The 16,336-nt window shown below is 48.3% G+C and overlaps 1 pseudogene, besides 2 other annotated features; it reads left to right on the top strand.

Moving 5' to 3' along the window:
* Positions 6,719 to 7,013: an enhancer, noted in NCBI's record as "tiled region #3085; HepG2 Activating DNase matched - State 8:EnhW". NCBI's record gives its function as "activates a minimal TATA promoter and a strong SV40 promoter by Sharpr-MPRA in HepG2 cells {active_cell/tissue: HepG2}" and the evidence as "EXISTENCE:reporter gene assay evidence [ECO:0000049][PMID:27701403]".
* Positions 7,587 to 8,786: an enhancer, noted in NCBI's record as "P300/CBP strongly-dependent group 1 enhancer chr22:46021696-46022895 (GRCh37/hg19 assembly coordinates)". NCBI's record gives its function as "activates an origin of replication core promoter dependent on BRD2, BRD4, P300/CBP, MED14 and CDK7 cofactors, with strong dependence on P300/CBP, by STARR-seq in HCT116 cells {active_cell/tissue: HCT116}" and the evidence as "EXISTENCE:reporter gene assay evidence [ECO:0000049][PMID:35650434]".
* On the top strand, positions 9,970 to 10,071 carry RNU6-1161P (RNA, U6 small nuclear 1161, pseudogene; annotated as a pseudogene).

Below are 16,336 nucleotides of genomic sequence, written 5' to 3'. Positions count from 1 at the left end.
GAAATCCTAGCTGAGAGGGCTGTGTCAGTATCGAACGAGCTGCTGCCTTTAAAGCACCTGGCAGTGGTATCGCCCATGATACCCACCACACAAGGGTGTTGGCACCACACAAGGATGCTCTGTGACATAAGGATGAGAAATACAAACACAAATACACAAAATGTGACTGCTTCTTCAAATTCCCACCCTCACTAAGGATGCCCTTGACCAAGGGCGGATGACAGTAGTAACCCTTTGAGAAGCAGCTGCCCTTTGGGAATCTAAGACAATCCTTCCGGCTTCAGGGTGTCAGGGTCACAGGACAGCATCTTGGTCCACCAAGTTAGGAAGATTAAACTGTGTCTTGAAGGAGTGCTTCCGTTAGGCATTAAGGGTATAAGAACAGGGACCCATCAAGAACAGAGCCTTCCCTTGAGGAGGGGAGACTTGCTTGAGCCTCACCTCAGTGTAAAAATTACTTCCCGGCCAGGTGTGGTGGCTCACGCCTGTAATCCCAGCACTTTGGGAGGCTGAGGCGGGTAGATCACCTGAGGTCAGGAGTTTGAGACCAGCCTGACCAACATGACAAAACCCCATCTCCACTAAACATACAAAAATTAGCTGGGCATGGTGGCACACGACTGTAGTCCCAGCGACTCGGGAGGCTTGAACCCGGGAGGCGGAGGTTGCAGTGAGCGGAGATAGCACCACTGCACTCCAGCCTGGGCGACAGAGCGAGATTCTGTCTAAAAAAAAAAAAGTAACTTCTCCCATTTGCAGACAAGGAAACTGGAGCTCAGCAAGCCTCAGGGATTGATCCCGGATCACACAGCCAGTATGTGGCAGAAGCAGGAATTTTACCCAAGTCTCTGTGACTTCAAAGCATACACGATTGTTTTTTCACTTTCAGCTCAGTGGATGCTCTGTGACATAAGGATGAGAAAGACAAACACAAATACACAAAATGTGACTGCTTCTTAAAATTCCCACCCTCACTAAGGATGCCCTTGACCAAGGGCGGATGACAGTAGTAACCCTTTGAGAAGCAGCTGCCCTTTGGGAATCTAAGACAATCCTTCCGGCTTCAGGGTCTCAGGGTCACAGGACAGCATCTTGGTCCACCAGTGTGGCTCCATCCTGTTTGTATCTGCAGGCGTGGCCTCTAGAGTTCTCTGCACTTGGGGGCTATCTGTGTTGTAGGATTTTGACTGCCCAGCCCTGCCTGTCTTCATCCCAGTGACCTGGTATCCCCGTCCCAGGCCAGGCAGATCGTACTGTCAGCATTCCTCCAGCTTGGGTTAACTTAGGGGAATCAGAGCTGTTGCTTCTCTGCAGCAGTGATTAGCTGGCTCCTGCCCGGCTCCGAGCTATTTATCAGCCCAGTCCCTCATCACGTCTTAGTTTCCATGATTTCTATTTTCCAGGGTCGACCCTGCACTACACACTAAGGTGGCTTCTGAAGACAAAACAATAGAAGCACATTCTTGCTTGGGTGGTTTGAAGTTAGGTCATAATCCCGGGCTATCTGTCGGTTAGGAAAATAAACACTGGCACCCCCCCAACCCTGTCTCCCCCGCCCCCACAGAAGGGAATGCAGGCTTCGGACCAGAGCACAATACTTCTCTTTTTCCATTGCCTGCTCTGGGGGATAAGGAATCACTTTCAAGGTAGGGTTAGCCAGAGGAACAATAGACAACTTGCCTCTTGACCCATGGGGAAAGGACAGATTGGGCACTCCTCCGGCAGGGGTGGCATGGGGGTGGGGCAGGTGAGCCGCTGCTGCAGGACTGGCCGCTCAATCACCAGGGACCGCATGCACTGCCCAAAAATCCCGGCTCCTGCGCCTTCCTCTGCTGGGAGTTTCCGTCTCCCCACACCTTTTCTTGTCCTCTTGTTGTGCCTCCTTCTCTTTTGGCAATATACGTATTCCTTTATTTCTTGCTCTGCCGATCACTGGAGACAGGATCTCTCTCCTGTTTTCAGAACGTTCCTTTCTCAGAGTAGTCAGTTCTTGGTTTACGAATACAGCATCTTCTCCAGTCTTTCTAAGGATCCTGATTAGAGGTCTTTGTGGTGGTTGTTTTTGAAGTTCTCATGCATTTCCTTAATTCTCTGTTACTTTAGGGAATTTTTTTTTCTGTTTGTTTATTCTGTTTTTTGTGTGTGGGTCTCACTCTTTTGCCCAGGTTGGAGTGCGGTGGTACAATCACAGCTCACCACAGCCTCGACCTCCCAGGCTCAAGTGATCCTCCTACCTCAGCCTCCCAAGCAGCTGAGACTACTGGCACATGCCACGACGTCCGGCTAACTTTTTTGTTTTTTGAAGAGACAGGGTTTCACCATGTTGCCCAGGCTGATCTTGAACTCTAGGGCTCAAGCAGTCTCCCCACCTCAGCCTCCCAAAGTGCTGGGATTACAGGTGTGAGCCGCTGCGCCCAGCTCTTTACTTTCACCTTGAATGTCAGAGGCATTCCTCAAAGTCCAATGCTCCTTGGTTGTCCCTCACATTTTATTTTATGTTTACTTTGTTTATTTATAGAGATGGGGTCTCGCTGTGTTGCCCAGGCTGTTCTCCATTGATCCTCCTGCCTTAGCCTCCCAAAGTGCTGGGTTTACAGGCGTGCGTCATGGTCCCTGGCCCTCCCTCATGTTTTATAAAGTCATTAACGATACAGGTGGGCAGGGCTGCATTGGTGGGTTTCAGTTTGGAGCAACGAGGTGGGTAGCAGAATACTTGTCAGAATATGGGGGGTTCATCTTTAGAGAATTGTTTGTTTTTGGTATGAGGGCAGATGCCCAGTCCCCTGGGGTTCTTAGTGAGTGAATGGTTGAGGGGTCTGGAATCTGACTTTTGAATTTATCACCAGCTGTGTGAGCTTGGGTGAGTTGTGCACTCTTTCCAAGCCTCTGCTTTCTCATCTGTAAGAAGGAGATAATTCTGGTAGTGCTGACAGCTGATCCTGCTCCCTCTGGTCTCTGCAGCAGGCATTATACTGGTCAGGGGCAGCCGTGGGACTCCTGACGTTCACCAGACATCTGACCACCACCAACATTAAGCGGGGGATCCACCAGGACCCAAGGGACCCCTGGGCACCCTGGGCCTGGTGTAGGCTTTTATGCAATGTGAGTTCTTCTTTTTGCGGCCTCATTCTTTGCTGCACAAATACCTCCTGGACACCTCCCTAGTGCGGCCTCAAGAACAGGCCAAGTGTTTGCTCTTCCCCCCTAATTGCAATTTACCTCATTTGCATGCAGCTTTTTCATTCTAATTCCCTGAACCAAGGCTGGCTGCGTTGCCAGGGCAACTGAGAGCAGGGCGGGCTCCCTCCTTCCTTGGCTGTCTGGGAGACCACAGCATCCCTCGGCACCCCCAGAGGGTAAACAATCTGCAGTTTCCTCTGCTCATTTTGTCGGCTTCTCTCGGGGTCCTGGTGATCTTTGCAACCCCCAGACTCACTTGGATTCTCCTGGTCGACTCGGGCTTGTGCATCCCTCCTCTGACACGGTGAACCCCATTATCTCTCTCTCTTTTTTTTTTTTCTTGAGACAGAGTTTCGCTCTTGTTGCCTAGGCTGGAGTGCAATGGCATGATCTTGGCTCACTGCAAATTCCACCTCCCGGGTTCAAGTGATTCTCCTGCCTCAGCCTCCTGAATAGCTGGGATTACAGGCATGCACCACCATGCCTGGCTGATTCTTTGTATTTTTAGTAGAGACGGGGTTTCTCCATGTTGGTCAGGCTGGTTTCTAACTCCTGACTTCAACTGATCCACCTGCCTCGGCCTCCCAAAGTGCCAGGATTACAGGCGTGAGCTACCGCACCCAGCCAAACCCCATTCTTATCAATACTGCCCCCCTCAGCTGGGCCACCTCTGGGGTTCTTGTGACACTGAAAGAGATGATGTGTGCGCCTCTCTTAATTCCCAGTCGTGGTTATAGCAGTCACCTGTCCGGCACTCCACCCGGCCCACATGGGAGTCTCGGGTCCTGATACTCACAATCCGCACTTGTTGGATGGCCCGCTTTGTTGATTGCACCTGCCTTGGGTGGTGGCTCAGCTCACTTCTCCCCCTTGCCTCTCTTCTTCCAGCCGCCAGCACCATTTCCCTGGCGACCGCCAGCGCGTTCTCCCACTTCATCCCCCTGCTTCCTCTCTCGAAAACATTTTTATTTAATGTAATTAATCAATTTATTTATTTTTGAGATGGAGTCTTGCTCTGTCGCCCAGGCTGGAGCACAATGGCATGATCTCAGCTCAGTGCAACCTCCACCTCCCGGGTTCAAGCAATTCTCCTCCCTCAGCCTCCCAAGTAGCTGGGATTACAGGCTCCCGCCACCATGCCTGGCTAATTTTTTTGTATTCTTAGTAGAGACAGGGTTTCACCATGTTGGCCAGGCTGGTTTCTAACTCCTGACCTCAACTGCTCCGCCTGCTTCGGCCTCCCAAAGTGCTAGGATGACAGGTGTGAGCCACTGCACCCAGCTGAAAACATTTTTAAAATGGGAACCTCAGGTGTATCCATTAAACTATGGCTCATGAGAGCCCTTGCTTGGCTGCTGACACACGCTGCTGGATGAGCCAATGGAGGGATGTGAGGCCCTCACCACGTTCACATCCTACCGCCTAGTTCACAGCTTAATGGGGACAACCGGCGAGCAAGGGCAAGGACAAAGCAAAGTCAACAAGCCCATACATAATCCTCCAGCTGCTCAGGGCCGCGCTTCTCCCTGTAGCTACTAAGTAGCCCACATGGCTCAATTTTCCCCGCAGACCCTTCAGAGGTGGTGTGGATAGGCGGTGAGATTAACAGTGCATGGTCGGGGAAGGAGATAATTCACAAGGGGACTGCTGCTGTGAGGTCACATTTCCTGGCTAGCCGAGCTAGTGTAGGCTGCCTGACAGTGGCCTCGGGGGCTTCCCCAGAATATCTGCATGGCCCCTGACTTCTGGGGAGAGAGAGGGTGATGGCAGGAGGTGGCAGGGAGGGGGCGGGGACAGCAGAGGGCGGGCAGAGAGGACAGCCCTTACAATAATGGTTTACTTGACAACTGCTACCTTGAAAGGTGGCCCTTCAAAAAGCTGACGTCATGAACACTTTGGGAGGGGTATTTAAACAAGGAAGGAAGGGAGGGAAGAGGGAAGGGAGGGAGTGAGGAAAGGACAGAGCAAGGGAGGAACCGAGGGAGAAAAAGAAACTCTTTTAATTCCAGCTCAGCTTCTTACCAGCTTTGTGACCTTGGTCAAGTCCCTTAACCTCCCTAAGATGTCATTTGCTTGCCTCTTGCCCAGAATCTAGGAGGTTCTCAGTAGAAATTATGGTGCAGACCCACACCAATAGTTAAAATGGAGAGAGCACAGTAAATTATAGCAATGGTTGTGATTGCACACAGAGATAGCTGGCTTGCATTTCCTACCTCTCTTCCTTCCTTCCTTCCTTTCTTTCTTTTTTTTACAGTCTTGCTCTGTCGTCCAGGCTGGAGTGCAGTGGCATGATCTTGGCTCACTGCAACCTCCACCTCCTGGGTTCAAGTGATTCTCCTGCCTCAGCCTCCAAGCGCGTGCCACCACGCCCGGCTAATTTTTGTATTTTTGGTAGAGACGGGGTTTCACCATGTTGGCAAGGCTGGTCTCAAACTCCTGACCTCAAGTGATCCACCTGCCTCGGCCTCCCAAAGTGCTGGGATTACAGGTGTGAGCCAGCGCGCCCAGCCCCAGCTTGCATTTTCAAAGCCCCTACCCCGTGCCAGGCTGGGGACTGTCACATGGTTTCTCTAATTCACATAATAACCATGGTGTGAGGCAGGCATTATTAGTTCCACTTTATCTACCAGGAAATAGACTCAGAGAGTTAAAGTGACCTGTCCAAACCCACGTGGCTATCAAGCCAGTGGCTGCCTGAGCTCAGGTTTATCTCCTCCCTGCTTTGATAGGTTACCGACTTGGAGCTATTTGCAAAGGACACGTGCTGCCTCTCCCTAAAGAGATGTTGTGAATTTTATTCAATGTGCCTCTAACAGCTATACTAGCATCACAAAAGAAAAAAAAAAAAGAAAAAAGAAAAGGCCTGGCGTGGTGGCTCATGCCTGTAATCCCAGCACTTTGGGAGCCTGAGGCAGGTGGATCACGAGGTCAGGAGTTCAAGACCAGCCTGACCAACACGGTGAAACCCCCAACTCTACTAAAAATACAAAAATTAACCGGGCGTGGTGGCGCATGCCTGTAATCCCAGCTACTGAAGAGGCTGAGGCAGGAGGAGAATCACTTGAGCCCGGGAGGTGGAGGTTGCAGTGAGCCGAGACCAGTCTGGGCGACAGAGAAAGACTCTGTCAAAAAAAAAAAACAAAAACAAATAAACAAACAAACAAAAGCCAGCCCCAGAGTGAAGGCTGCCACCACATGAGTCGTGCTATTTGTATTTATTTTTGCTAAGTGTGTATCTCCTGCCATAAACTGTAATTACTGCCGCAACATGATTGCCACAAATCTGTTTCGCTGAAGTGAGTCAGTTTACCTTCTCATCGTCCTCGAGTGGCTCCTGGGGCACTCGGAGGTTCATTCTGGTGAGGCGGCAAAGGGACGGTCACCCACCGAGGCAGTGTTCCCATCACGTGCATCAGGAACTGCCAGGGTTTCTGGAAATATTTTACAGACGCGATCATCCGCCTCTCTGCAGAACCTTCACTGATTTGTTATACCCCATTTCATTAGAGGTTTGGGGGTTTGTTTGTTTTATGCAGTCCCAGGAAAGGAATTCCAGAGTGACACCCACCCAGCATAAGCAAAGACCGGTGCCACCCCCTTGCGTTGAAATCCACGTGGCCCGTGAGCTGCAGATAAGTGAGCCGTGGCAGGGGAGCTCACAGAAGTGGAAAAACACAGCACAGACGTGGCCTTGACCTCTGCCTGTCAGCAAGCCTGGGGCTGTAGAGAAGGGTACAGGATTTTACAGCTTTACATTTCAAAATCTTTTTTTTTCTTTTTTTTGAGATGGACTCTTGCTCTCTCGCCCAGGCTGGAGTGCAGTGGCACAATCTCGGCTCACTGTAACCTCCACCTCCTGGGTTCAAGTGATCCTCCTGCTTCAGCCTCCCAAGTAGCTGGGACTACAGGCGTGTGCCACCACACCAGCTAATTTTTTGTGTGTTTTTAGTAGAGACAGGGTTTCAATGTGTTAGCCAGGATGGTCTCGATCTCCTGACCTCATGATCCGCCTGCCTCGGCCTCCCAAAGTGCTGAGATTACAGGCGTGAGCCACCGCACCTGGCCTCAAAGTCTTAAGTAATTCTTTTCAATGGCATTAGTGATTATGCTTTTTTTTTGTTTGTTTCGCTTGTTTTTACCTGTTTACCCTGTTTATACCTCCACCCTAAGTCAAGAGGCCTGAGCTTCACCCAGACCTGGGTCAGGATCCAGAGCCCTCTTCTTAGTGCAGCGAGGCCTGGGCCTCCATTTCCTCATCTGTCAAATAGAAATTTTAAAAAACAGGCCGGGCGCGGTGGCTCACGCCTGTAATCCCAGCACTTTGGTAGGCCAAGGCGGGCAGATCACCTGAGGTCAGGTGTTCGAGACCAGCCTGGCCAACACGGCAAAACCCTGTCTCTACTAAAAATACAAAAATTAGCTGGATGTGGTGGCACATGCCTGTGATCTCAGCTACTTGGGAGGCTGAGCTAGGAGAATCAGTTGAACCCGGGAGGTGGAGTTCGCAGTGAGCCGAGATTGCACCACTGTACTCCAGCCTGGTAGACAGAGTGAGACTCCATCTCAAATGAATAAATAAATAAATAATATAAATAAATAAAATACAAATAATTCTTACTCTGAAGGAACTAAAACCACTTGTGAAGACAGGACTTCACCCAAACACACAGGACAGAATTTGGCCAAAGCCCTCTAACATGAACAGGGTTTTGTCCTGAGCTTCCTGGAAATGAGACCCAGCCCATACGCAACACATCAATCCCTCAACTCTAGTAAACTCTAGACTTCATTACCTGGCAGCCGCGCCCTCCCTCCCTCGTCTCACTTTAGAGCGAGGTGGGCGTGTCACGGAAGAGGCATTTCCCCCATGCGTGTTCCATCCTGGAGCCTGGTAACCTTTGCCAAAGATGACTCAGGTAAACGTGTTATCAAGCCGAGCCGCCAGTCACCCTGCAGTGACCCGGCCAGTACAGCCATGCCGGGTCTCAGCTCTGCTCACCCGCGCAGCTCCCAGAAACTTCCCCGGCTTGTCTCCACTGGAATCGGGATGGAAGGGAGCCACGGCTGGCTCAGCCCCTCTCGGAGCAGAAAGAGGAAACTTCTGAAAAGAAGATGGGGGCTGGGGGAGGACATCAATCAGCACGGACAAGTAAGTACTCAGCGCCAGGTGCCCACGTGGCCAGGAACTAAACAGATGTGCCTGTGCCTTCGTAAAGGAGGGCAACACAGGTTACAAAAATAACAAGACACGTTATGTGATTACAAAGCATAGGCCTGGCGCGGTGGCTCGCGCCTGTAATCTCAGCATTTTGGGAGGCTGAGGCAGTCGGATCACCTGAGGTCAGGAGTTCGAGACCAGCCTGGCCAACATGGTGAAACCCCGTCTCTACTAAAAATACAAAAAAATTAGCCAGGCGTGGTGGCAGGCTCCTGTAATCTCAGCTACTTGGGAGCCTGCGGCAGGATAATCCCGAACCCGGGAGGCAGAGGTTTTGGTGAGGTGAGGGCAGGTCATTGCTCTCCACCTGGGCAAAAAGAGCAAAACTCCATCTCGAAAAATAATAAATAAAGTATGGTAAGTTCTAGAAAGAAAACAAATGAGCAGGAATGATAAAAGGTTATCAAGAGGACCTGATTTAAATTGGGGAGGGGTCAAGATGGACAACTTTAACAGGAGCATTTACACTGAGACTTGCAGGAGCGGGACCTGGCCGGTGAAGAGGGCAAGGACAAGCATCTCAGCCGAAGGAACAGCATAGAGGACTCCAATGTGGGAAAGAGTTTGCAGTGTCTTAGAAATGGAAAAGGGGCCAACTTAGCTAAAATATTGTGAGCAAGGGGGAGAGTGGCTTGATGCTATTATTTCATATACATAAAGATAAAATCTACTCCGTTTAATAAAGCTGCCATGTGGGGAGCCTACGTTGGGAACGGGAAACCCATTCCACTTTTAAAACTTTGCTCGAGGCTGGGCACAGTGGCTCACGCTTGTAATCCTAGCGCTTTGGGAGTCTGAGGCGGGTGGATCACAAGGTCAGGAGTTTGAGACCAGCCTGGCCAACATGGTGAAACCCCGTCTCTACTAGAAATACAAAAATTAGCTGGGCATGATGGTGCGTGCCTGCAATCCCAGCTACCCGGTGGGGCTGAAGCAGGAGAATCGCTTGAACCTGGGAGGTGGAGGTTGCAGTGAACCAAGATCACACCACTGTGCTCCAGCCTAGGGGAGAGAGTAAGACTCTGTCCCAAAACAAAACAAAAACAAAAACAAAAAAAACCTTGCTCAATTGAGACTGACTTGGATTTGAATCCTGACCTGGCTGCTACGAGAATGTTGCTTAATTCTTAGAACTTCGGTCCCCTGCCTGTCCAGTGGAGCTGGCAGCACTTGCCTCAGAGGATAGGGCTCTGGGTGGAGTGAGAAAAGGTGGAGTGGAGAATGGATGTGCCCATTGTGGTGTCGGGCACAGGGCAGGCTCTCATTAAATGGGAGCTGCTGTCCTTGTTCCAGATGCCACTCCCACTCTCAACTTGGGGCCCCTGTGTCCACGATGAAAGGGGCAGAGCTGCACCTGCCTCTCCCTGCGGTGCTTCTCAGCTTGCTCAGAACCTGGGTGAGGGAAGAGGGTATTATTTTTTTAGGACCTTTTGGAAACCCACACCAAGAAAACAAGCACAGGGTGTGTGGCCTCTCCCTTCTGCTCCTCATCAAGGGGAGGGACCGAACAGAGAAACTGGAAAGAAAGGTATTTTTAAGGACATGTGTAAATGCTTTAGAAATGATGCTATATGCTTGTTTGGGCAGCATGTATCCTAAAATTGGAATGACACATGGAAGGCGGCACGGCCCCCAAGAGTGACATGCAAATTGGTGAAACATTTCACATTTTTGGAATCCAGAAGATGATAGAGTGACATCTTTAAACTGCTGAAAGAAAAAAGCCAAACAAACTGGCCAACCTTTTGGAGGAGATAGTCTTCAGAAATGAAGCATAAACAAAAATATCTCCAAACAAAAGCTAAGAAAATTCATCACCAGCAGCTCCACCTCCAAGAAACCCCAGAGCAAGTTCTTTGGGCTGAAGGAAAGGGACCCCAGTGGAAGCATCAAAATGCAGGAAGGAATGAAAAACACAGAAAAGGGGAAATATTGGGTGAATATACAAAAATGTTAGCTACGTAAGGTAAAAATAAACGAGTCAATGCTAAAACGTCTATCAGTGGTGCCAGGGCGGGAGAGGAACAATGGAACCAGAACATTTACCAAAATAGACCATATGCTGGGCCCTAGAGCAAGTCTCAACAGATTTCAAAGGGCTGAAATCACATAAGAGTGTGTTCTCTGACCACAGTGCAATTAAACAAGAAATTAATAACAGAAAGATAATTGGAGAATCCCCAAGTGTTTGGAAATTAAGCAACATACTTCTCAATAACCTCTGGGTCAGAGAAGAAATCACAGTGGAAATTAGGAAATACTTTGAACTGAGTGATGATGAAAATAAACATTGAAACTTGTGGGAAGTGGCTAAAAAAATGCTTAAGTGGAGACTTTTAGCTTAAAATGCATGTATTAGGAAATAAGAAGGATGAAAATCAATGATCTAAGTTTCTGTCTCCTAAAACTAAAAAAACAAAAACCCCAAAACCGAGTAAATTAAGCCTAAAGAAAGTGAAAGGTAACAAAGACTTGGAACCAACCCTAATGTTCATCAATGATAGACTGGATTAAGAAAATGTGGCACATATACACCATGGAATACTATGCAGCCATAAAAAAGGATGAGTTCATGTCCTTTGCAGGGACATGGATGAAGCTGGAAACCATCATTCTCAGCAAACTATCACAAGGACTGAAAACCAAACACTGCATGTTCTCACTCATAGGTGGGAATTGAACAATGAGATCACTTGGACACAGGGCGGGGAGCATCAAACACCGGGGCCTGTCAGGGGGTGGGGGGCTGGTGGGGGAGAGCATTAGGAGAAATACCTAATGTAAATGATGAGTTGATGGTTGCAGCAAACCAACATGGCACATGTATACCTATGTATCGAACCTGCACATTGTGCACATGTACCCTAGAACTTAGAGTATAATAAAAAAAGAAAGAAAGAAAGTGAAAGGAAGAATGTAATCAAGACAGGAGTAGAAATTAATGAATTAATTGGGAGCAATAGAGAAAATAAAACCCAGGTAGGTGTTTGAAAAGATTAATAAAAGATTAGTAAAATGGACAGGCTCAGGTGCAGTGGCTCATGCCTGTAATCCCAACACTCTGGGAGGCCAAGGTAGGAGGATCACTTGACCCAAGGAGTTTGACATCAGCCTGGGCAACATAATGAGACTCCAACTCTACAAAAATTTTAAAAAAAATAGCTGGGCATGGTGGTGGATGCCTGTATTCCCAGCAACTTGGGAGGCTTAGATGGGAGGATAACTTGAGCCCAGGAGGTTGAGGCTGCAGTGAGCAGTGATCACACTGTTATGGGACCTTTGGGGTGTTAATTTTCTGGCCGGAAACCTCTGTGGTCATGGCACCTTTGCCTGAGCTCTTGTCCTGCATCCAGAAAGAATGAGGTACACAGACAAATGAAGGATGAATAAGATAAAGATGAGCTTTACTGAGTGTTATAACAGCTCAGGCCCACAGTGGGTAGCTCCTCTCTGTAGGCAGGTCATTGAGTGTTCCATTCGCAGCAGAGAGGAGGCCCTGGAGAGGGTACTCCTCTCTGTAACTGGTCATCCTGATGTCTGCAGCTCTCAGCAGAGAGGAGGCCCTGGAAAGGCTGGCTCCTCTCTGCCAGCAGGCCATCTCTGTAGCTCTCAGCAGAGAGGGTAGTTCCTCTCTGGAGCTGGTTGTTCCATCATCTCCAAAGGGTAGCTCTTCTCTGCAGCTGGCCAACGTGTTGTCTCTCTGCCCTCTTCGTCCTCTGACCATCCTCTACCCTGTTCTGGCAGAGCCCAGGGCTTTTATGGACTTCAGAGGGGAGGAAGTTCATGCCGACTGGTCAATGGATGGCCATGGATGGGCCCAGAAGAGGCACCCAAGTCCCCATTCTGGTCTGTGGGACTGACAGCCTGGCCTCCAGCCTTCGGGCTCTCCTCAGCCTGAGGGTGGGGCCTTACTGGGGACCCACCTGCTTCTACCCACTAATCTGTCTGCCTCCCACTGCCATTCATAGTCCCAAGGCTTGGCCCCAACCCCATTCCAAGATCAGAGCGGGTACTGGAGCAGAGAGAGGCCAGACAGTGAGAGCAGACATTCTGGAGCCAGCAGGGATGGGGTGAGGGCCTCTCCTGGGCCCTCGAGGGTGTAGGCTGCAGAGACATCCAGGTCCTGCACCTGGGAGGGTGGCTGCAGAAGCACCTGGGGAGCTCCCGTCCCAACTCAGAAGGGGCAGGGCCTCCACTGGCTCCATGGAGTGTGCAGCCCCAGCCGTGCCCCCTGCTATAGCTGGCATGGTGGCAGCAGCCGCTATCGACACCACTGCACGGCAGCCTGGGTGACAGAGCAAGACTTTTGTCTCAAAAATAAAATACAATAAAATAGACAATTCCATCAATAATGACCAAGAGGGAAAAAAATAGGAAAAACTCACGTTTTTAAAATTCTAATATCAGATATAAAACGAGGCCCTCACTGTGGTAGAGGCTAATGATATTGTAAATGTAACAAGAGGATATTACAAACAATTTTGTGCCAATAAAAGTGAAAACCTAGATGAAATGGACACATTCTTTAAAAACTACAATTTAGCGGCTGGGCATGATGGCTCAAGCCTGTAATCCCAGCACTTTGAGAGGTCGAGACGGGCGGATCACCTGAAGTCGGGAGTTAGAGACCAGCCTGACCAACATGGAGAAACCCCGTCTCGACTAAAAATACAAAATTAGCCAGGTGTGATGGCGCATGCCTGTAATCCCAGCTACCCAGGAAGCTGAGGCAAGAGAATCGTTTGAAACCGGGAGGTGGAGGTTGGAGGTTGTTGTGAGCCAAGATCGTGCCATTGCACTCCAGCCTGGGCGACAAGAGCAAAGTTCCGTCTCAAAACAAACAAACAAACAAAAAACCCCTACAATTTAGCAAAACTGATACAAGATTAAGTAGAAAATCCAAAGAATCATCTACTGTTAAAAACAATTAAATCTGTAATTTAAACCCTTCTCACAAAGAAAACTCCAGACTCAGGTGGTTTCACTGGTAATTTTCCAAACATTTAAGAAATAATACTTATCTTATGCAAACTCAGAAACAGAACACAGGAAATAAAAAAGGAACATCCCCCCCCAACTCATTTTATGAGGCCAGAAAAATTCTGATATTACAGCTAGGCACAAATCTTACATAAGAGATATTTACAGACTGATATGGTTTGGCTGTGTCCCCATCCAAATCTCATCTCAAATTGTAATCCAAATTGTAATCTCCATGTGTCAAGGAAGGGACCTGGTGGGAGGTGATTGGATAATGAGGGGGTTTTCCCCCATGCAGTTCTCGTGATAGTAAGCGAGTTCTCATGAGATCTGGTTGTTTGATGAGTGTCTGGCACTTCCCCCTTCGCTCTCTCTCCTGCCACCTTGTAAAGAAGGTACATGCTTCTCCTTTGCCTTCTGCCATGATTTTAAGTTTCCTGAAGCCTCCTCAGCCATGCTGAACTGTAAGTCAATTAAACCTCTTTCCTTTATAAATTACCCAGTCTCAGGTAGTGTCTTTATAGCAGTGTTAGAATGGACTAATACACAGACTTATATCTGTCATGAATATAGATGAAAAATTCTAAGTAAAATGTTAGTAAATCAAATCCAGAGATATATTAAAAAGATGATACCTCAAGACCAAGTAGAACTTATTCCAGAAATACAAAGTGGATTTAACATTTGAAAAAAAATCAATCAATGTAATTTTCCATAATAACAGAATAAAGGAGAAATATCACACAATCATGCCCTTTGATGCAGAAAAACATTTGATAAAATTCAACACTTATTCATGATAAAAACTCTCCAACAATTAAGAATACATTTTTAAAGGAACTTCTTTAATCTGATAAGGACTATATATTTTTTAAAACCCTACTGTTAACATAAATGCAACTATTGAGCACTTTCTTCTTGTCAGCCATGATCACCACTTTGGCTCAACCTGGTACTGGAGGTCCTGCCCCGTGCAATAAGGCAAGAAAAAGAAAAAGGCATGAAGATTGGAAAGGTAAAACTGTTTTTGCTTTCTGATGACAAAACTGTATAAATAGGAAATCCAAAAAAATCTACAAGCTATTAGAATTAATAAATTTAGCAAGGCCACTAGACAAAATGTCAACATACAAAGTTAAGTTTATTTCTATATACTAGCAACAAACAACTAGAAAACAAAGACAACTTACAGTAGCAAGAAAATATAAATAGCTAGCAATAAATCTTCTGAAAGATATGTAAGACCTCCACTAAAAACCACAAAACATTTCTAAGAGAGATTAAAGAAGACCTAGATAAGGTCAGGAGCAGTGGCTCATACCTGTAATCCTAGTGCTTTAAGAGGCCAAGGTGGGAGGATCACTTGAGGCCAGGAGTTTGAGACCAGCCTGGGCAACATAGAGAGAGTCCAAATCTACAAAAAACTAAAAAACTAGCCAAACATTGTGGTACATAGCTACACTCATAGCTACTCAGGAGGCTAAGTTGGGATGATTGCCCAAGCTCAGGAGTTTGAAATTACAGTGAGCCGTGATCACACCCCTGTACTCCATCCTAGGCAACAGAGTAAGACTCTGTCTCTAAAAAAAAAAAAAAAAAAAAGCCGGGCATGGTGGCTCATGCCTGTAATCCCAGCACTTTCAAAGCCAAGGTGGGCGGATCATGAGGTCAGGGGTTTGAGACCAGCCTGGCCAATATGGTAAAATCCTGTCTCTACTAAAAATACAAAAATTAGCTGGGCGTGGTGGTGGGTGCCTGTAGTCCCAGGGGGCTGAGGCAGAAGAATTGCTTGAGCCTGGGAGGCAGAGGTTGCAGTGAACCAAGATCATGCCACTGCACTGCAGCCTGTGTGACAGAGCAAAAGTCTGTCTCAAAAAATACCTAGATAAATGGAGAGATAGACTACATTTATGGATTAGAAGTCTCAATGCTGTTGTTATGTCAATCTCCTAAATCCATCTATAGATTCAATATTATAGTAAATGGCCTCAGCATTCTTTTTTTTTTTTTTTTTTTTTTTGAGACAGGGTCTCACTCTGTCCCCCAGCTGCAGTGGCACGATCACTGCAGTTTCAACCTCCTGGGCTCAGGCGATCCTCCGGCCTCAGCCTCCTAGGTAGCTAGGACTACATGCGCTCCACCACGCCTGGCTCATTTTTGTATTTTTTGTAGAGATGGAGTTTTGCCATGTTGCCCAGGCTGATCTTGAACTCCTGGGCTCAAGCGATCCGCCTGCCTCGGCCTCCCAAAGTGCTGGGATTGGATTACAGGTGTGAGCCATTGCACCCAGTCTCAGCATTCATTTTGAATATAGGTTTAGCTTTCTCATACCAGAAACAGGGCTTAGTCATCCTTGACATCATTTCCTGTTCTTCACCTCCTCCCATTTCTTCAAGATGGTCAATCCAGATTGTCTGCCTTACATTATCGCCTCCCGGGGACTCCCTTCCCAAGGTATAGTTGGATACAACCCACTTGACTTGCCTTAAAGACCCCACCCTCTCAGGGACTGGGCTGGTCTATGCAGCAGTGACCCTTTCTCAGTCACACGGTGACCTTTGGCCCTCATGCATCCCCCAAATCTCCCAGTTAGAACACCCTGTGGAAAACCTGCTTGGATAACGACCTGGATTCCAATTAAGGCTTTAGTCCCGCAGGTCTCTCTCTCTCTCCCTCTCCACCCCCGACCACCTGCTGGTTGAGCTCCCTGCCGTCTCCAGACTTCCCGCAGTTCCTTGCAGGACCCTCTTCTCTGTGGACCTGGGAGTGATAAACCGCTTCTGTTATTTCATGTGTTCTGTTGTGCTGTCTCCCCCGTGGCCCACCTGACCAACGCACCCAGACCTAACTCTCTGCCGGCCAGGGCTCTCCTAGGGAGTGGCGGTCTTGGTGGGAATAAACTGGACACAGGTCAGACAAGAGCCAAAGGGCGTCTGCCAGGGTAAACGAGTTTCCTGT

Source organism: Homo sapiens, chromosome 22, assembly GCF_000001405.40.
Source record: "Homo sapiens chromosome 22, GRCh38.p14 Primary Assembly".
NCBI lineage: Eukaryota > Metazoa > Chordata > Mammalia > Primates > Hominidae > Homo > Homo sapiens.
The sequence above is the reverse complement of the archived record's forward strand: the minus strand, read 5'-3'. Positions and strand labels throughout refer to the sequence as shown.